A 22,768-nucleotide genomic window follows, 5' to 3' on the forward strand; every position below is an offset into this window, starting at 1 on the left:
TGGAGGACAATGGCCCTCTTCTCACAGCTCCACTAGGCACTGCCCCAGTAGGGACTCTGTGTGTGGGCTCAACTCCACATTTCCCTTCCACACTGCCCTAGCAGAGGTTCTCCTTGAGAGCCCCACCCCTGCAGCAAACTTCTGCCTGGGCATGCAGGCATTTCCATACATCTTCTGAAATCTAGGCAGAGGTTCCCAAACCTCAGTCTTGACTTCTGTGCACCTGCAGGCCCAACACCATGTGGAAGCTGTACCATCTGAAGCCATGGCCCAAGTTCTACATTGGTCCCTCTACAATGGAGCAGCTGGGATGCAGGGCACCAAGTCCCTAGACTGCACACAGCTCAGGGATCCTGGGCCGAGCCCACGAAACCACTTTTCCCCCTAGGCCTCCAGGTCTGTGATTGGAGGGGCTGCTGTGAAGGTCTCTGACATGGTCTGGAGACATTTTCCCCATTGCCTTGGTGATTAAAATTTGGCTCCCCGTTACTTTTGCAAATTACTGCAGTCAGCTTGAATTTCTCCTCAGAAAATGGGATTTTCTTTTCTATCTCATTGTCAGGCTGCAAATTTTTCAAACTTCTATGCTGTTTTCCTTTTAAACCTGAATGCTTTTAACAGCACCCAAGTCACCTCTTGAATGCTTTGCTACTTAGAAATTTCTTCCACTGGATACCCTAAATCATCTCTCTCAAATTCAAAGTTCCCAAATATCTAGGGCAGGGGCAAAATGTTAACATTCTCTTTGTTAAAACATAATAAGAGCACCTTTGCTCCAGTTCCCAACAAGATCCTCATCTCCATCTGAGACCACCTCAGGCTGGACCTTATTGTCCATATTGCTATCAGCATTTTGGGCAAAGACATTCAACAAGTCTCTAGGAAGTTCCAAACTTTCCCACATTTTCCTGTCTTGTGAGCCCTCCAAACTGTTCCAAGCTTTGCCTGTTACTCAGTTTCAAAGTTGCTCCCACATTTTCAGGTATTTTCCCAGCAGCGCCCCACTCTCCTGGTACCAGTTTACTGTATTAGTTCATTTTCATGCTGCTGTTAAAGACATACCAGGGATGGGGCAATTTACAAAATAAAGAGGTTTAACTGCACTCACAGTTCCACATGGCTGAGAAAGCTTCACAATCATGTTGGAAGACAAGGAGGAGCAAGTCACATCTTACAGGGCTGGCAGCAGGCAAAGTGGGAGTGAGAAACAAGCAAACTTGGAAATCCCTGATAAAACCATAAGATCTCATGAGACTTATTTACTACCACGAGAACAGTATGGGGGAACCTGCCCACATGATTAAATTATCGTTTGCCCGGATCCTCCCACAACACATTGGAAACATGGGAGTACAATTCAAGATGAGATTTAGGTGGGGACCCAGAACCAAACCATGTCAATTACCCAAGCTGGAGTGCAGTAGTACAATCATAGCTCACTACAGCCTCAAACTCCTGGGCTCAAGCAATCCTCCTGCCTCAGTCTACTGAGTAGCTAGGACTCCAGGGGCATCTTAATTTTTAAATTTTTTTTTTGTAGTTCTGGGATCTTGCTATTTTTCCCAGTCTTGTCTGAAGTTCTTGGCATCAAGTCATCCTCCTGCCTTGGCCTTTCAAAGGTCTGAGATTACAGGTGTGAGCCACCATGCTTAGCCTCTTTCTACTTTAGACCCATTGGAAACCAGGCCACATCAGCACTGAATCTGCTACTAGCCCTGAGACTATAGAGCAGAATATGCTACTGGACCCTGGAAGTACTTTTGTTCCAGGAGCGATGAAGACAGGATATCTGTGGGGTGAAAGGAGAAAAGCAAATAAGATGACTTTGAGTAGATTTAATTATATGGGCAAATTCACCATGTAGAATGTTATAAACTTGTGTAGAGCTGCTAGGATCTGAAAATCAGTACCCAAGCATAAAAGTCAAGATTATGGGAAAACTTGAAGCACAAAATGGCATGTAACCAGAGATCCTCCATGGGCCTAGTACACAGTAGGCCTCAGTAACCATATGTAGGGATAATTACTGAATAAATCTATAGGGAATGTATAAGTCCACTTTGATCTGGTAACCTTATAAGACAATGAATCCTTTACCTTCTGGAAGAGTCAGTCTTGTGAGTACCCTGGATTATTACACAATAAAGTATTTATTTGGGATTAATGATTTGAGCCCAGACCTCCTGGTAATGTTTCTTTCCTGAGTTTCAAATGTACAGGGCTTATGGTGCAGTGAGTTGGGTGGTAAGGACCTGCCATTTGCACTTGGTTCACTTAATTTGTAGAATTAGAGGTCATTTTGGGGAGGGCGTTCAGTGTCCGTGTGTCTAATATCTTGCCTGAAAACAGGTCCTCTCCTTCCTGGAATACAGCCACTCATTTACATACGGTTTGGTCATGCCATCATTTCCATACCATAGAATTCCAGAGAATTCTACGTATTGGTAAACTTGATAAATTGTTCTAATTTGCTCTGATTAAACTATCCTATCCTTGAAAACAAGAAAGTTACTTAAATGTGCCATGTCTTTAACATAGTTAATAAATCTCTTTAAAAAGACCTAATGAAGACAGAGCTAGGTCATGATAAAATGTAAGAATTCAGCTGGTAGACACCAGTAGAATAAGTGTTCACAGTGGTCAAATGCATAGGTAGCTTAGGTCTATCCAAAAAATGGTCTGAAAAATAATCTTACCAGAGATCATGCACATGGTAAAGATTTGAAGGAGGGAAAATGGAATTAGAAAATATATGAACAGATCATATAGGGGTGTAATTGTAAGAAGGGTCGAGGTGGTTGGACAATAAATAACCGTAAGTGTTACTTGGGAGAGAAGCCACCTGACACAGTGGAGCTTTAGAAAAAAAAAAAAAAAATATATATATATATATATAAGTTTCTAAATAAAGTAAGAATTGGGATATAGCAGCACAAAACATCTGAATACTATGAAAGCTATTTGTTATTTGTGTAGAGAGCATATTATAAAATTTAAAAGACACAAAAATTCTACCTGTTCTTTTAGTATTACATTTTAATTTCCACACCATTCTTTTGAAAACTACATTCTGGTTCTAGAAACTTGACAGAAATTTTACAAAGTATAAAAAATCTGCATAAAATAGAATATACCTCTGATTAATAAATCTTCAATGATAGATCACCAGAAGGCCTGGGATATAGTTATCTAAGGTCTTAAATACTTCCAGCTTCTCTAAATTGTCAAATATGAGGCTACACAGTAATCTCTGATTTATGTTAGATTTTTCAAAAAGATGTATTTTTGCCTCATGGTTAGGAAAAGATAGATGACTACATATTTTACAATGATGTCTATTAAAATTAGGCTTCAATAATGTCAGATAAAAGTCTCCTTTCATTTATAGCACAAAAGCAGCATATTTGAGATGAATTTCCCCAGTTTCTGCTTCAAGTCTATGACAACTGTTTATATTGGTTAGCATTATATTTGTTGCACAATTAAGGGTTACCAATTTATACCATATGTATATAATTTGATTTTTTTCCAACGGACACTCCTACTTATTTGATGTGACTGCCTTAACACATATCTATCTATAACTATTGACCAACACATTTTTCTCAAGGCTTGCATTACGCTCGTTGAACATACCCTATACAATTCTACTCTTAGATGTAGTTATGAATTGTCTGAGTATAATCTCAAATCTCTGAATTTTCCATTTCAGTATGGTCATTCTAGAATGTCCTATACATCCTCTATCCTGTAGCTTCCTATTTACATTGACTTCCCTTCAGTGCCATCAACCAATTCTGTCTTATCCAAGACACCTTTCAACATCACTTTAATCAGAACACATTTTTCATTTATATCCTTTTCACTCCCATAGTGCTTTGTCTGAATATTTATTACAATATTTATGCATATATGCTTTATATTATTAGCAATTTATAATAACTTGCCACCAGTATTAACTTGCAAGTCCCTGTGATTTGGAGGGAGGAGAGGAGATAGCAGTGGGAAAACATGTACTCTTAATTTTTAAATTCATCATCATGCCTTAAACTTCTGACTTGAACATCCTAGGCTATCAATATCAGTGTTTCTTGAATTAAACAAAATATCTGAAAGTCAGTTTTAGTAATTTTGTTTGAAATAATACAATCATTTTAAATCTATTTTAAATTGATTTTAAACCTAGGACAAATTATATCATAGGAATGATTGCAAGAAATACTGCATATGCTAGACAGAAAAAGTGCAAAGTTTAATCCATGTCTCTTCTTTTGTGACCTTGGCAAAGTTACTTTGGGAGTACAAAATATCGACACAAGATCCAGCATATAACTCCATCTCAAAAAAAAATATATATATATGTATATTTTAAAGACACAGCATATTATTTGTTTCATTTTGGTAACTATATGAAGTTTACTAATGTCTACCTATTGGTATTAGTTTTGCCATTTAAAAACTTACAAAAATAATAATATCTACTTTTTGTTTCTTACAAGGTCAGTGTGAACATCAAGTAAGACAAAATGAGTGGAACTGCATGGTGCTATACAAACTGACATCATTGTTAGCATTGTTTTCTATTTCATTATATATATGTTGGATTAATAAATACTCTCTCCTTTTGCCTCATGTACATGTTGAGGAGATTAATCAATGGCTGCTTTAGAGTGTTTTGTAGTTGGCATATTTTGTGTGATATGGTTTGGATGTTTATCTCCTCCAAATCTCATGTTGAAATGTGATTCCCAGTGCTGGAAATGGGGCCTGGTGGGAGGTAATTGGATCATGGGGGCAGATCCCTCATGAATGGCTTAGCACCATTCCCTTGATGACAAGTGAGTTCTTAGTTCATGTGAGATCTGGTTGTTGAAAAGTCTGGGACCTTCCCCCTCACTCTCTTGCTCCGTCTCTCACCATGTGACCTTCTTGCTCTTACTTTGCCTTCTGCCATGCATAAAAGGTCCCTGAGTCCTCACCAGATACAAAGCAGATGCCAGTGCCAGGCTTTTACAGATTGCAGAATCATGTGCCAACTAAACTCCTTTCTTGATAAATTACCCAGCCTCAGATATTTCTTTATAGTGATGCAATGGAATAGCACAATGTGTTTATGTGCATTATCTCAGTTCTCACATTAGGCTTCATGACTGAGTTTAAACACTACTAAGAAATAGGCTTAAAAATAAAATTTTAAATCTGTACTCTACAATTATTTTCCCTTCTTCTTCTTTTTCTTCTTCCCCCTCCACCCCTTCTCCCCCTCCTCCCCCTCCTCCCCTTCCTCCCCTTCCTCCCCCTCTTCCCCCTCTTCCTCCTCCTTCCCCTCTTCCTCCTCCTCCCCCTCTTCCTCCTCCTCCCCCTCCTCCTCCTCTCCTTCTCCTTCTCCTTCTCCTTCTTGATACAGGGTCTCACTCTGTCACCCAGACTGGAGTGCAGTGCTTATGATTATGACTCACTGCAGCCTCGAATTCCTCGGCTCAAGCAATCCTCCCACCTAAGCTTCCCAAGTAACTTAGACCACAGGTGTGCACCACCACATGCAGTTAATTAATTTATGTATTTACTTTTTGTAGAGACGTGGTCTCAATACCTTGCACAGGCTGGTCTTAAACTCCTGGGCTCAAGTGGTCCTCCTGCCTCAGCTTCCTAAAGTGCTGAAATTACAGGTGTGACCCACGGCACCCAGCCCTGTATTTCTTTTTGCTTGTTTGTTTTCCTTTTGCCCTAAAATTTTTCACTTATTTTTGTTTTGTTTTTCTTCATGAGCCTTAAACATGGTATAAATATACACACACATACATACACATATTAAAATCTCTCTTAAAGCTTTATTTGTAATTTCAACTCAGTATTTGACATTACCTCAAAGATGTCCCAATACACTCTTTATCTAAATAGATCAAATAAACATATTATTTCCATATCACAACTGTCCACTCTTTTCTATCTTCATTTGTGTTAATAACACAAACATTACCCTGGATATTTTTAACATTTCAAAGCAATTCCTGACACCAACTTCATATTTTACTTCATATTGTAGAAGCTGAACAAATTATATAGATTTTTCCTCCACAAAACATCATCCATTTCTCTATTCTTTCAGTAATATTTCCACCCATGCATAATTTATACATCTGGAATTAGCAATACTTCAATAGTCTTCTAGAAAGGCTCTATTTCTCCTTTCTGTTAACATTTTAAACTATCCTAACCTCAAAAGAAATTTAGTTTTCTAAAACATAATTCTGCACATTCCCACTGTGATTAAAAAACTTAACAATTTTTTTACTTTTCAGTTGATATGAAAGCTTTACATTGGCAATTTATGGTTCATAATGAGTCAACTGACCTGGCCTGATTTATCTTCTAGGGCATCTGTGTATATAATCTGTGTTCAAACAAATCTAGATTATCTACTGTTTCCTGAATCTGCTTGTGAGTCTATGGTCATAATAGTTTCTCTCTAGTTCCAGCACCACCACCCATCTTCATCCGTCAACGCTTATTTCAAATGTCATCTCTTTAAGGATCACCTTTGGGCTTCCCTTAACTCAATGCTATCTTTCTTCCTAGAAAGCCTCATAAATATTGATTTTCATGTTTCTCCCTGAATTTATCATAATCTAGCTTTTCAAACTGAAAGTCAGAGAGCTGAGCATTTTCTCTTAGCTGCTTTGGAAATTGTCTTGTAGGACCAGGGACAGTAATAAGTAGTATAGACATGAAATCTAAAACTCAAGCTGGAATCAGAGCCAGTATACTCTTATTGGGTGGTATATAGCATGTTTTCGCATGATATTTATTTTGAAGATAGTGTTTCACAAATTAAAATTTTAAGGAATAAATACCCCTTTAATTAGAGCTGTTTAGTGTATTTATGTAGCATGAATTCATTACACTGCAAGTTTCTTAGGAGCAGAGGTTGTATGGTATGGAGTTTGCTTCCTAATCCCTCCCCCACCATCTAACACAGTTCTCCAGTAGTAAAATAATGCAGTGCTAGATTGACTTGGTGATTTTTCAGCGTGTATGCCTAGCAGAAAAGACATATTTCTGAACATGGATCATGATCTATCTATGAGAGCCGAGTTGAATCAAAAGAACTGTGTTATTCACAGGGAAGAAGTTCAACATAGTAGTGGTTCAGAACAAGGTCTCCAGAAGCTGACTCTTGTTGTAAATCCCATCTCTGCCTTTTAAGGGCAAAGTATTCATGAAATTTTTACATTATCTTGCTGTGTCTTCATTTCCTCATATGGAAAACAAGAGATAGTAATAAAAGTGTCTATTTCACATAATAAGGTTAGTGCATAATGAGTTAAAATATGTAAAACCCTCAGAACAGTGTCTTGTACATGGCTTTAAAAAAAGTATATGTGTTAGTTATTTTCATTAGTATTTTATTAGTGTATGTGTCTCTGTTCATTTTGCATTGCTATAAATGAGACAGGATATTTTATAAACAAAAAAGGCTTGTGTGGCTTATATTCTCCTGGCTGAAAGATTGTTATCTGTAGTGTCCAGCCATTCATGCCTCAGCTGTTATGAATTCCTCCCAGTTGTGGCTCCAGTTTCTTCCTGATCTTTTTCAGAGCCTGTTTCTCTGGTCATCACAGTGATAATGTGAAACACCAAATATCTATTTTACAAATCACAGCTTCATTGAGATATAAATCATATACTATGCAATTCATAGTTATGCAACAATTATCACATCAAGGTTATAATATTTTTATCACTCCAGATAGCAACACTACACCCATTAGCAGTCACTCCCTATTTTCCCCAACCCTTCCACCCACAGCCCTAGGCAAGCACTAATCTACTGTCTGTTACTATACATTTGCCTTTTCTGGCTATTTCGCATACATAGAAGCGTATCATATGTGATATTTTGTGATTGGCATCTATCACTTAGAATATAGTATTTTCAAAGTTTATTCATGTTGTAACATATATCAACACTTCATCCTTTTTAATTGCAAAATAATATTCCATTGTACATTTATACATTTTTCCTATTTATTAGCAATGAACATTTGGGTTATTTCCACTTTCGAGAGGTAATCTTGGAGACCAGTCTTTGAAGTTTGTTCTGACTCCAGGAGGGCTGTTCTCAGCTGCCTCTTTCCCTGCTTTTCTCTGGTGAATTAGCTGGCCTGCAGTTTAGTTTGCTGAACGAATGGAGCTACCAACTTCCTGTTAATCACTTATTAGCAAGTCTTCACTGTTTTTATATCACCGGTATATCTGAACTTCCTGTACTGTGCTCCAAATGAAGTCAGTTCCTTTGGAGAGAGCTTCAAAACTCTCTATATAGCTTGCCTCTCTGCCTAGGCAAAATCTCTGAACTATTGTTACAGAGCTAGGAGCAGGGACAGTGACCCACTTTCTCAGAGTGACATCCTGCTTTACAAGCAGGGTGCTCAGAATGGATGGTGGTCTCATTTTCTCTGCTTGCCTCCTCCAGCATAGATACTCCATCCTAGTAGTGAGCTGGGTGAGGGCACTGGAGGCTCCAGTATTCTAGTCCTGGCTGTGTCTATGACAGACTCTACCCTACAAATGGGGACTTACAGAAGATGGGAGCCTCAGCCTTTCCAAGACACTCACCTAGAATACAGCTTCTGCTATAGAGATAAGGATTATGAGAAATGCTAGTTGACTGTTGCTCTTACATAAACATGGCAGTTCTTGATTGGGAGCTGGGATTAGAGAAAGCCCCATCTTGGTAGACACACCCAGAGTGGTGCATTCAGTCATGCCAAGTGTGACTAGATGAGGGTAGGGTAGAGGTTGAGGAAGTGAGAGGGTTTGAGTGTAGCTCAATTCCTACAGTTTCTTGGTGTTTTTCACTGAGGTTTAGTTTCTTCATTTTTTGTTTGTCCTCAGGACCACTTGCACAAATGCTAAATATTATTTTTTAACGTAATTTCACCACTTGTGGTTGTTTTGCTGAGAAGGAGCAATTTTGCAGGTCTCCTCACATTGTCATTTGAAATGGCACCACTTGGCTGGGGGGCGGTGGCTCATGCCTGTAATCCCTGCAATTTGAGAGGCCGAGGCAGGTGAATCACCTCAGGTCAGGAGTTCGAGACCAGCCTGGGCAGCATGATGAAACCTTGTCTCTACTAAAAATACAAAAATTAGCCAGGCATGGTGGCATGTGCCTGTATTCCCAGCTACTTGGGAGGCTGAAGTGGGAGACTCTCTTGAACCCGAGAGGTGGAAATTGCTGTGAGCTGAGATTGGCCACTGCCCTCCAGCCTGGGTGATAGAGCAACACCTTGTCTCAACAACAACCAAAAAAAAAAAAAAAAAGAAAGAAGGAAAAAGGAAAGAAAGAAGGAAGGAAGGTAGGGAGGAAGGAAGGAAGGACAAAAGAAAGAAAAAGAAAGAAAGAAAGAAGAAAAGAAAAGAAATAGCACTACTCAACATCCTATTGCTAAGTCCCTTTCTATTAAATACTTATATCATCAAGATTCAGTTTCAAGTTTTTGTATCTCACAAACCTAACCAGCATCTTATGAATGCTCTGCATTTAGATATCCAGATAGCGAGACTTGCTATGGGTGTGTCCCATATTTCTCACTGTTAAAAAATGTTAAGCTAGAACTTACATGAAAGTAATAAATATAATAAAAATCCACCTCAAGTCTATGAGGTTTAAGCCACTACTGTAAGGACTTTCTTAATGAAATGGTCTATATTGTATGTCTAAATCTGGATATAGGAAAAAATACTTTAATATCTCTCTAATCTGCAAGTGAATTAATATAATTATGCTGCATTCAAAATTCTATTTCTCCATAATTAATTGCATTTACTATTTAGCTATACGTTCTTAAATTTGGAAAATATTGTGTAAAAGTATTTCTTATGTGAGATTAGACCATATTTATGAAGAATAAAGAAAATGTAATAGTATAACTGCATGTTTATTCCCATATTACAACTTGAATTTTTTTAAATGTCAGATTTTTCTAAAGGGAACATTTAGGACAAGGTGTTTAGAAGGTGTGAGCTTATTAAACAGTATTCTAACTTAATTGTTAGAACATTTTGAGATAATCTGTATTTTCTTCTAACAAAGTTATCTTACTACATGAATTTATACTCATTCTGAACAAAGGTTCTGGGTAGACTGTGAACCTAAAAGACGGATGCACATGTCAGACCCTATCATGATTAGACATACCAGCCACTCATCAGAGATCCGAATCTCCACACATTCCATATGGCTATAAATAGTGCAATAGAAGGAGGTCTCCAGAATGAAAGTCGCACATGTTAAATGGCATATTCTAGTTAGATACTTGCAGTTTTCCCACTAATAAATTATAAAATTCTTGTTGGCAGGGATCATGGCTTATTTGAGCTGTTGCTCCTCAGTGGACATCATAGGATCTTGCAGATGTGTATCAATCCTTCGCAAGTAGGTGAGTAAAGATTCTAGTTCTAGTTTTCTGAAAAATAGTTGGAAATTTGTTTCATTGCTAAGTTGTAAATGTCAACAGCAAAATTTAAAAAAGCATCATTTAATAGAGAATTTGAATATGTAAGTCATATAGTGTTTATAGTCTAGAAAATTGGAAGGAACATTGCTTGGGGGTTGAAGACCTGCATCCAGGATTCCATTCTGTACTATTTTGGGTAAGTCACTTATCCTCTCTAAACTTCTGCTTCATATTTGCAAAATTAAATTATTTACACTTAGCGATGTTTTTCAATTTTAAAAAGCTGTAATTATGCCTTTTTAGTACTCTAGTTCCAGTGGAAACTTTTCAAACAAGCAGTTTTTAGGAGTAAAGAAAATTATTAAAATATGTAAAAGCCAGCCTTCTCTTCTTTTCTGTGTGTGTGTGTGTGTGTGTGCGCGTGTGTGTGTGTGTGTGTGTGTGTGTGTATGTAGGTATGCACATAACCTCTTTACTACCTATGTGAACAAGACCTACCTTTTAAAATCATTTGATCATCATCTTGAAAACTTAAGCCAGGCCACTGATAAAGGAAAAAGTCAACTTTAAATAAATTCTCCTAAATTTACCAACCTTTTCCAGAAGGAAATAGACTATGAACTTTTGCCAGAACATTCTCCTATGAATCTGTGATGATCTGAGACTGTCTTGCACCATTAACCAATTCACAAAATAGCCCTCCGTACAAATATATCTCCTCTGCATTCTTTGTGGTTTCAGAATGGACATTTATTTAAATGCAACCTACTGCAGTTATTTAATGAAATTATTCACTATTTGTTAGGTTTTTAAATTTTTATTTTATCTTCTTATGAGAAGAAAACCAAAATTATCTGACCACTTATCATATCAATTTTTCTATAAGTTATTGTCCAAGGCAAATGTGAATATACAGATATGGGGAAGATTTAAAGGAATTATTCTATTTGCTTAAAACATCCTGTTTAGTTCATAAATCATGCTGTGTATAATAAATTTTGTACATTTAGATGTCCACCGAATTTTCATTTTGATTATACTCAGGATTTTTTTACTTCCTGTTCTTTTTTCAAAGTCTATTAAGGTAGGAAGATGGTTTTGAAGCAATTATCGTACAGAACATGTTCCATTAGCAGAATCAAGGTGTTCTGCTGCTCAAATTGAATAATGAGTATTCTCCCAACTTGTAGGACAAAATACTTACTGGAGAACATTTTTGTAATGTTGTTTTTCATGTGAATATATTTGTCTTAGAACATTGACTATTATTGCATCTTATTGATCCTATATGTATGAAAGATATCTCATATGCCAAAAAATTGTGTGTTTGGATTTGATTAGTACCTAATGCTCAGTGTCTCAGTTTTGATGGTATTCCACAATAGCACTGTGTCAATATTGTTCAGTGCTAACCAGCTGAACAATAGTGACAGCAACTGCTCTAAGTAAGAACTTTAAGAAAGCAAAAGGAAAAATTATAAGTGTGAAAAATATGAAGTGATGAAGTGAATATTCCTGGTGAATAAACCTCTTTGAGTACTATGGATATACTAAGCCATCTAGTGCACCTATATCAAATTATTCATCAAGTGCTCTTGAAAATTTTCCATAAGGAGAAACTTAGAAACTACCAGCTTAACAGAGTGAATTTTAAAGCTTGAGCTTTCCTTATTGGGATGAAAATGCTTCTCGGCCTGGCGCGATAGCTCACGCCTGTAATCTCAGCACTTCGGGAGGCCGAGGCGGGCAGATCAAGAGGTCAGGAGATGGAGACCATCCTGGCTAACATGGCGAAACCACATCTCTACTAAAAATACAAAAAATTAGCCGGGCATGGTGGCACGCGCCTGTAGTCCCAGCTACTCAGGAGGTTGAGTCAGGAGAATCGCTTGAACCTGGGAGGCGGAGGTTGCAGTGAACCGAGATCACGCCACTGCACTCCAGCCTGGGCGACAGAGTGAGACTTCATTTCAAAAATAAAAATAAATTTAAAAAAAAAATTAAAAAAAAAAAGAAAATGCTTCTCATAGTATACTATAAGAAATTTGGAAAAGTTTATTTACCATAAGTATTTCTGGTAAATAGTGACAATTCAAATACTAACACTGATTTTATTTAAACAATTACATTTTTAAAAGGCCTCATTTAGATCGTCATAATTTTGCAGAAGAAGAGTTAGAAACGTATTTTCAATGGTGGGGATGGTGATTCCTGTTTCTAACCCACAGAAGCACAATTATTACAAATAAAAATAAAAAGCCAAGCATGCAAGCCAGCCAGAAAGCAAGAAAAAAACAGACAAAAAAGCAAGTTTGAACAAAAGCCTATTGGGAAGGCAAGGGGCTCACTAGACTATAAGTCATTAATTGAATCACACAATGATGCCTTAGTTCAGAGAAGTTTTATTTTATTTTTTAAGGTTTTAGCCTGTTTCCTTCATTACTTTGATTTAGACCCATTATTGAAAATAATTTAAGAAGATAATGTCATTATTTGCATAAGACTTCTGCCCCCTTGAAAGCCACTATGCATGAGAAAGACAGAAAAATACAGAGAAAGATACTCAAAAAGTACAAATATCTATGGAAAATTTCTCACATTAGGGAATGCCAATGACACAATATGTATTTTTGTATTCAACTGACACTTAAAAATAAAGGCTTCTTTTCAAATCTAACATTTTTGTTAAAAGTAATTATTTAAATTCTGCCATTAATTAGTTTTGCCTTTTATTCAACAAGGCTTTTTAAAAATAATTTGAGGTTAAATTATTCATCTCTTATAAATCATTTATGCATACATTTCTTAGATCATACCTGTGCATGATCAAGTACATCTATTCTTGTTTTCCAGATGACATGATGTCTCTACAAACAAATGCCTTTTCCAAATCTACAATTTGTCATAGGTAAAATAAGTCACTCTCATGAATTCTAGGTAGAGTGAGGGAAGACTATAGTGTAAAACTAAGTTCCATGCTCAGGGATCTTCCTTTCAAAATCGTCCAATCTCCCTTAAATAAAATGCTACAATAGCACTATTTATAGCTGTAGAATGAGAGAAATTTGGAGCTTGGTCTCACTGAGATGTCATATTACTGTCCTTAATCATGAAGCAACAAGAACAATCTTGAAGCTGGAAGTTGCCTAAAGAAAAAAAAGAAAAGAGCTAGATTCTAAAGAAAAGCATTAGCAAGGCTGCTCAACAATTTAGAGCTTTAGAAATAGTGAAATCAGTCATCATCCTCATAAAGTTAGCAATTCCTTGCTGAAACTCAGACTTTCTGTTCTAAAATCTTAAGAGGAACTCAAATTCTCATTATTTTAGATGGAAAACATTATAAATGTTACAGGAATATTTAAAACTCTTGAAACAACTTCCAAAAATGTAAATAAACTCTTTAGAATGCCAAGAAGAAGTATCAAACTATTATCTAAAAATATGAAATGCTTACACATTGCTACCTAGTCTCCAAAATGTCAATATGGTTATTAACAAACAGGCTGGGCGCTGTGGCTCAGGCCTGTAATCCCAGCACTTTGGGAGGCCGAGGTGGGTGGATCAACTGAGGTAAGGAGTTTGAGACAGCCTGGTGGACAACATGGTGAAAACCCGTCTCTACTAAAAATTAGCCAGGCATTGTGATGCATGCCTGTAATCCCAGCTACTTGGAGGCTGAGGCAGGAGAATTGTTTGAACCTGGGAGGCAGAAGATGCAGTGAGCCCAGATGGCGCCACTACACTCCAGCCTGGTTGACAGAGCAAAACTCTGTCTCAAACACACACACACATGCACACACACACACACCACAGTTGTTTTATATACAGATACATGATCATAATAATTACATTTTGTTTACCTGTTTTGCTTCCTTTCATATGATTTCCTTCAACACTTTGTCAGTTTTAGGGGAAGATTCATTGTATAGTAATAGACAAAAAGAATGGCTAAATATAAAGGCATAGTGTAGTCATTTCCAGGATGAGACCAATACAGCAGAGAAAGGTTCAGGTTGTATATTTTGCCATATCCTTCCATTAAGAGCCCAAAATTGCAAAAATCCTTTCTAATTGACATATCAGCTTCTTGAAATTTCTATACATGATATGGCATACTATCAATTACATTTGAAATGTCACTCGAGAATGATGTCTGATATTTTGTTAAAAATGTTGTTTTATAGAAAATCACCTTTGGGAAAATAAACATAAATTGTTCCTATCTAAGTACCAGTTGAAAATCATGGTAATGAGAAACATGTATGTGTTGGGATATTGGGGTTATAAAACAAAAAAAATTTTATAGGGAAAATGTTACTAGAAGAAAGTCTACAGAAATTTCCCCAATTTGACATTTAGATTACAGAAAATTAGCAGAATCTTTTCAGTTTACATACAAAAGACCCCTCAGAAAATTCTGCCTAAGTTTTTTCAGCAATATGGAGAATATAGAAATGTTTATTTTGGAACTGAAACAGGACAAGTTCCCAATCTGAAAATGTTTGCTCAGAATTTCCAGGCATTTCTCTAAAAGACTTTGGAATATTGTAGTTGTTTAAGCTTATTACCTGCCTTCTAAGTCTCGTAAGCAATAAAAAATTTTTGGTGCTACTGCTTCAAGTTTTTAATCTATACCTTGACTACTTCATCTACCTTGACTGCATTCAGAACAGAAAGATTCTCTGTTCTATACTTTCAGCTTTGTCTCATGATTAATTATTGTGGTATATAAAGACACAATCACAGTTCAGTTTAATTAGCTATATGGCTTTACCAACAGCTGAATTGAGATATTTATTTATTTAGTTAGTTATTTAGTTTTACATTGGTTTCGTGCCCTTAGAAAGGCAAGCTGTTTCCAGATTGAAATTATTTCTGGTCATTTCTAAGAAAAACAAAAAGCTAGCAAAGTAGGAACAGGAAGGTATACATAAAGCACTTAAAATGTAAACTCCAGTTATTGAAATAATGATTGAATTAATGCTAAAATAATTTTATTACTAATTAATGAAAACATTCATTAATTTATAATTTGAATGAAATAAACTAGTTATAAAATTTGATATAGCCACCGTCTGTGTTTAGGAATGTTTAAGAGAGGAAAGAAAACACAAGTATTTCAATATGCTTTTGGAGATAGTTATCCATCTATTGAGTACATTTATCGACAATCTTTTTTTTTTTTTTTTTTTTGAGACAGAGTCTCACTGTGTTGCCCAGGCTGGAGTGCAGTGGCGGGATCTCGGCTCAATGCAAGCTCTGCCTTCCGGGTTCACGCCATTCTTCTGCCTCAGCCTCCCGTGTAGCTGGGACTACAGGCTCCTGCCACCATGCCCGGCTCATTTTTTTGTATTTTTAGTAGAGAGTGAGTTTCGCTGTGTTAGCCAGGATGGTCTCGATCTCCTGACCTTGTGATCCACCCACCTTGGTCTCCCAAAGTGCTGGGATTACAGGCGTGAGCCTCCACGCCTGACCTATTGACAATCTTTTATTGCGTCATGTATATAGTGACCAAAACAATCACTGTTCTCTGTGAATTTATCATTCATTCTCAATTTCTCAATTTATATTGTATATGAATACTGATCAAATTATTATATTAAAAAAAATTAATATTTATAGATAACATACAGATTAGATACCATAACTAGACATATAAACATTGTATGCATACACATATTGCAATCTACAATGTTATGCTATATACGTTGTCATTTACAAACATTAGATTAATCTTTTATGTCATCATTTGATAACCATTTACTGTTTTTGAAATCTTTGAGCCAAGGACTGCTTTGAAGAAATGTATAGCTAACTATATAGACAATGTTCCCCTTTTGTTTACTTCATGCCCTCATATCTAATGAACATCCATAAAAATGAACTTCAGTTTGCTATCTCTCATGTTGAACCACCTTGAGGACAAGATATAGAGTCTATGATGTTTCAGTATTAGAGAAGCTGGAGATACCAAGTCTTTCAGGATTGAGGATCATCACTGTCTTTCTCTATAGTATCATTAATAAGGATTTGATCTCGATCTACATGTCGTCTTCCAAAAAGACTGTCGAATGCAAACTTTAAACTGCATAAGGTAAAATCTATCCATAAATGCTCCACTTGAGATTTACAGTGGATTTTTTTTTTTTTTTTTGCAGAAATCTCTACTTTCCATTTGGATACAATTAGTAACTAAAGCCACGTTGATTTTTCCTTTCTTGCTCAACTAATGTTATTTGTTTGGTTGTTGTTTTTATTGTACATTACTGAGAACATTTTCAAGTCAGTTTGTACTCTTAGATAACTTGTAACTCAAGATATAGGCGGTTATTTAATATTTTGTCCCTGAGTCTGATCTTTTGTCTTTCTCTAATATCTGTTGTTTTATCCAGTTCCAACCTGTTCACTTCCCCTTGTCGATTATTTGCATGAATTGAAAAGCATTTCAAACTCTTGCCAAATCTTTTTATCTTAGTGTTTCTCAACCTTAATCTATTTTCCTGTACTAAGTCTGTAATTCTGTCTCCACATTCTTTTCTACCCCATGAACTTATCTCTAATCACAGGCATTTTTCATGCATAAAGCCTGTAATACCTTGTGTTACTATTCATGCCATGTGCTCTCACAGATTCAGGAGATCAGCATTTATATTAGCACTCTGGGCCACATGAATCTATTTTCCCAGCTAAAAAATCTTCCTGTAGGTATGTGCCAAATGAGGGAGAGTGTCTGTAAACAAGTTTGTGTGACAACTATCACTGTTAATGCTATTTTTAAAAGTCATTTTCAGACAATATTGTCATTTGCAACAGGATTCAAAAAAAAAGAACAAATTGGACTAGAATATGAGTATCTCCTACCTTTTCACCTGACCTATGTGATTTCCAGATTTTATAGTTATCCCCTTCTGTTTAAGACACTTGACTCACACCTAAAGAGACAGCTCAGACACTAGCGCCTGCCTTAAGTAGGTGGTTCAGAGAAATGCTTAAACCAGCCGTCAGAACACAATATCAAGTACCTATTGTTCTAATTCTGACTTTGCTTCTTTATCTGATTGTACTGATTTTTAACTTACCCACCTGAGAGAATTCTCTAAATAACAGCATGCATAGTATCTTTTCATTTCCAGGACCTTGGTCCTACCTTCCTTATGCCATTTCCTCCTCTCTCTGCTATCTCCCCTCTTTTCATTCCTCTGTTATAGAGCAGGGGCTTTATATTAGAATCTAGCTTGTTAAAATTAGAACCACAACACCTCATGCCAGGGTTTCTAATTCATAATGCCTCCTCCTTTGTTTGCCAGAACTCTGCTATAAGCTCTGTGGGGACATCCTGCAATATAACTTTAGCCTTCCAGCTACATAGGCCCACATTGCTTTTTCCTGCACCCACCTGAGTACCAGGTATAGAGGCTGCTTATACTTCTTTTTACTTCTTTATATGTCTCATACTTCCTTTGACTGGTTCCCCAGAGCCTATGCACTTACAGTGGGGAGAATTAATTCCAAGACCTCCCACTTATTCATTGGCAAATTGAATTGAAATTATCCTTGACTATAAATATGGCCATTTGGGTACTAGCTATGTCTCCTTTATTTTTCCTATCTTACCATGTTGATGTGTGTGATACTCACACTTTCCTCATTGAGCCATCTCCCACTCTCTTTTGTTCTTCCTGTTGATTTTAGCCTCTCGGTTTCTTTCTATTTCATTTTCCTTCCCATGTGGTTCAGGCTTTCATGCATCATTAATTAATTAATTCATTCATGTAACCAATATTTAACAAACACATGTGCCTGCACTGTTTAAAGTACAGGGGATGCAAAGATAAATAAAACAGACTGTTCTCACTGAGATTTTGTAAGATGGACTATAAAAGGTAAATAGAGAAAAGTTACAATAATTTGTTATTGCAATAAATTTCAGAAAGGAAATAAAATGGCATGATGTGCTGGAATTAAGAAACGATGAGAACAGGGAAAGGAGTTGCTTTACCTTATATGGTCAGGACCAGTCTTGGGACCAAGGATTTGAAGCAAAAATTTGATTAAGTGAAGAAGTGAGCTCTTGAAGAAGATCAATGTTCCAGGAAAAGAAAGATAAAGCAAAGGGCTTGAGGTAGAAAAGGGTTTAGTTTTTAGAAAAAAACAAGAAAACCTGACTAAAGTGGAGTGACTGCACAGGAGTATGAGTATGCAGTGAGTTTACAGATATTATTAAGACCTTGTAAAACATGAATAAAAGTTCACATTTTATTTTTAATGAAATGAGAAGTCAAACGAGGAGTCAAACCAGGAAGTTCAGATTTTCAATTTCAGCCAATGCAGTAGTCCAGGTGAGAAATGATGATGTCTTGGATCTGGGAAGTGTTAGTGATGACGGACAGAAATAGACAAATACTTGGGTATATTTTGTCAAGTTGATACATCATCTAATGATTCTCTGGGGAATTTCATTCATGTCTCAGTGCTCCTTTATAATTTTTACATCTTCATAATATAGTCCAAGGTTTTACATCACATGCAGATTGATTCAATTTGGATATTCACAGTGTTCTCTGCTTCAGTAACCATTTGTTTTCTGGGAAGAATAAAATTATTTAGGAGTAGAGAAAAATATTCATAACCAGCCAACATTGACAGGTAGAATAAAATGATAGGCCAATGGAAGATTTGATTGTTGAAAAGGAATGAAAAGAATTATAAATGAAAATGGCAATATTTTAAAGAGAAGATAAATCAACATTGTATACAATAATTCATGACCTTCAACATGAGTATAAATAATTTAGCTTGATATAAAAGATAATATTGAAGAAACACATTTTCGCATTGTCTTCTCCCGAAATAAGATAAAAGCCCTAAAATGTAAAATACATTAGTTCATGGCTCCCTAATGCTTATAGTACACCATTTAAAAGTTCAGCACAGTATTCGAGGCCTTCCAAAAATCTATCCTGCTAACCCTTATTTGTTATTATTTCTAACACATAACTCAAGCTTTTTCTACATTTAATTTTTTCATTATTCTCTGACTACTTCATACATTCTTTTGAGAAGTACTCACCTTTACTACTTCCCTACTTAGAATGTTTCCTCTTTTATTCCAACTCTAAAAATACTGCTTCATATACCACAACAGATATCACCATCTCTATGAAAACTACTCTGAGAGTGACATTGACTTCTTTTGCCTCTATAATCCCACAGCACTTGCTATAAATCTGTCTAATTTCTATTTAGGTAAATGTATATCTCTGTTGTATCCACTGACTTGCAAACTGTATAAAAACACATACATCATTTACTTTTTTCTTTGTACAATGACTACACAGAACAGCACATTTTGTGCAATAGGCTCCCAAAAATATGTGGCAAATTGAATTAAAATCTTATTTCACATAACCATAATCTAACCCACAAACCACAACTACTAAATTAATTTATAATCTGGAATGAAAGCAGGAACCATTTTGTTGTACTGTTCTTAGAGTCACTCATCAAGGCAGACTACATTAGTAACTTCATAGAGACTACAGTACAGTTTATATAGCATTCATACATTTCTTTGGTCTCGTAATAGTGGGAAGATCACATCCTTCATAAATGTTCATGACCATAATCATCAGCATCATGTTAGTAACAATAATAGAAGGCATGACAGATGATTTGCTAGCCATTCTCCTTCATTTTCTAAATTAATCCTACAGCACTGGTTTAGCAAGGTAGTTGCTAATTCCATTTTGGAAGGAGAAAATAAAGTTGAGAGGGGTTAAGTGAGTTTCCCAAGATCACTCAGTTAGAGAATAGCAGAGGGGAGATATAATTCCAGCTCTGTCTGATCCCAGAATACTTGCTCTTTCTCTGTATTACACAGACACAGAGAAAACAAAGCATCATCTTAGAAAAGGGCAGGTCTGCACATTAAGTCTCTGTTGCCTGCTCTAAGAAGCAGAGAGGAGGGCCTGCATGCCCTATATACCTATAAACCTGTGATGTTGGGTAGGTATTAAAAAGGTTTGCTGTTGGCCAACCACTAAGGGGCAGTGATACATAACAATCGGCACCTTGTGGCTCTGAGCAGCAAGTCATGGCAGCTATAAGTCCATTGCAGAAAAAAGAATTGAATCCTCTTGGTTTTATTTCTCAGTAGAGAACTGGAGCAGAAACAAAGCAAAACACTTTGTCTCCCCCCAGGATCTAGTTATACCTTTTACTAAGACAAACACATCACATTCAATTCTCCGATCTCATTGCTGATGAGAGAGAAATACATTCAGAGAACCAACTGGAGCATCCAAATATCCCTCACACAAAAATAAGCAGTGGCTTTGTTTACAGATCTCTTTCCTTTCTTTACCACCGTCCTATGCTCATAGAGGCAAGCAAGTTAACTTGTATGAAAACATGTTCTCTTTTTGTTACTGAAGTTTAAGGTTTCAAATGGGCTATAATGTCTGAATGCTTGGACCCTAGCAATTAGGGTACTGGTAGTTAATGTCCTTCCAGCTCTGTCAGCTCCAGCTCCTTTACATAATATCCTCAAATATTGCTTTTATGCTGGACAAGGTTGGATGCATAGAAATTGCTATTATAAAGGTTAGAGGGAAAATCCTTGTACTAGAGTTGACATGCTGTATTGATCCATATGAAATCCAACCATTACTGAGACAGATGGGGGAGCTCTGAGACTCTCAATCCAAAAATTGCATCCGTTATTGCTGATGCTGCTGTACATGCTGACAATAGCTACAGTCTGAAAAGCAGGGTTTACATGCCTGAAATAAATTGTTTTGATTAGAACCTTTAGGAGAGAAAGTCATAAGGTACAGTTTTATTGACTACTTGCCAAACAACACGGACCCATGCACCGTAAGCTTGTTTTGCTCTTGTAAGTCAAGCAACAACTAGGCTTTTATTTTCTAACATTATGGACTTAGAGTATAATATATTGTCATTTACTTTGAATTATTGCACACGTGGCATTTTAGGAAATGGTATTAATTTTCAAGTATTGCTGACTTCTCTTCATATCTTTGCTTGTGTATTTGCTTGTTTCCTTATAGCAGGTATACTTTAATTTTGTGTGATAAAATTAGACTGCTTTGATTGTGTGATAATCCATTAAGTGTTGTGGCCAACAAAGTGAGTTCAGAAAGCTGCTACTGGGCCCTAAGAAACAAATTGTAAGGAGAATAATTATATAACTAACTATATTAATAATGCCTTTTTTGTTCTCTCCTCTGAAGCTTATTTTTTTTTCTGTGCAGAGAGCTTTCTTTTAATCTATTGCTGTTTTTCCAAAACAAAACAATTCAGTGCAATCAACCAAAAAAATTGGACAAATGGTTGTAAAATGCAAAATGAGAAGCCAGCATCCTTGTTGTCTGAAGTTGGACCTGTGTTACTTTATCCCTCACTAAAGCAATTCATCGTGATGTTCTTTTCCCATTGAAATGCATGGAGCTCATTCTTCTTTCTTACATTCTTAGCATGCATATGTGAATTTCAGTGTTGGCTCTTACAGATAGAATAGAGAGTACAGAAAGTTCACTCTAAGTACTACTTATAATGATACAATTCCTGTATCTGTTACACCTACGTGAAAACAAACATCTTGCCTAGAGAGAACGAGGGGTGCATGTTTTCCATACAACCACTTTTATGAATACATAAAATTAAGTGCATGAATAAAAGGAAACTACATGTATTATATAATATATTTTATGATGAGCACTGTATTGCCTGTTTTACGTATATTATATACCAAATTTTGTCTAATTTACTGAAACAAAGAAAAATAATAACTAACAAATATATATAGTGTTGTGCCCATTAAGTGCAAACTTGACTTAATCAGTCTTGTATTTATTAATCCAACTACATCCTAACTTTGTTCAGATTAATTAATCAATTAGTAAAATGCAAGTAGAACATGATGACTGCCCTCTAGGATTTTATAATCCATTCAACAGATATGAATCATTGCATTCCGTTGTTAGCTGGGAAATACTAAATGTCAAATGATTATTAAAGCTATGTACTAAGATATCAACAAAGGCCAGATATTGCTAGCTGAATAGAATAATACTTTTGTCTCATACAACAAATGCCTGTTTAAAAAAAAAAGGGCATGTATTAATTAATGTGGCAGCACCAGTATATACAGCTAACATTTGACCAATAGCATTTCAAGGTTTCATAAATTGTTCTTAATATGTGCTGACACCACCAGATTCTAAAATGGTGAGATCCAGGGTCTCAATTTTTAAAAACTCATTTGAATGACAAGTTGCCTAGCT

The 22,768-nt window shown here is 36.2% G+C and overlaps 1 long non-coding RNA gene across 3 annotated transcripts in view; it reads left to right on the forward strand.

Moving 5' to 3' along the window:
* LOC105374557 (uncharacterized) overlaps positions 1 to 22,768 on the forward strand; it is a 485,690-nt gene that overhangs the window by 87,194 nt on the left and 375,728 nt on the right. For all 3 annotated transcript variants that reach the window (NR_188396.1, NR_188397.1, NR_188398.1), the window contains exon 2: positions 10,366 to 10,445. This is a non-coding gene — a long non-coding RNA (uncharacterized LOC105374557). The remainder of the gene's footprint in view (positions 1 to 10,365; positions 10,446 to 22,768) is intronic.

Source organism: Homo sapiens, chromosome 4 (assembly GCF_000001405.40).
Source record: "Homo sapiens chromosome 4, GRCh38.p14 Primary Assembly".
Taxonomy (NCBI): Eukaryota; Metazoa; Chordata; class Mammalia; order Primates; family Hominidae; genus Homo; species Homo sapiens.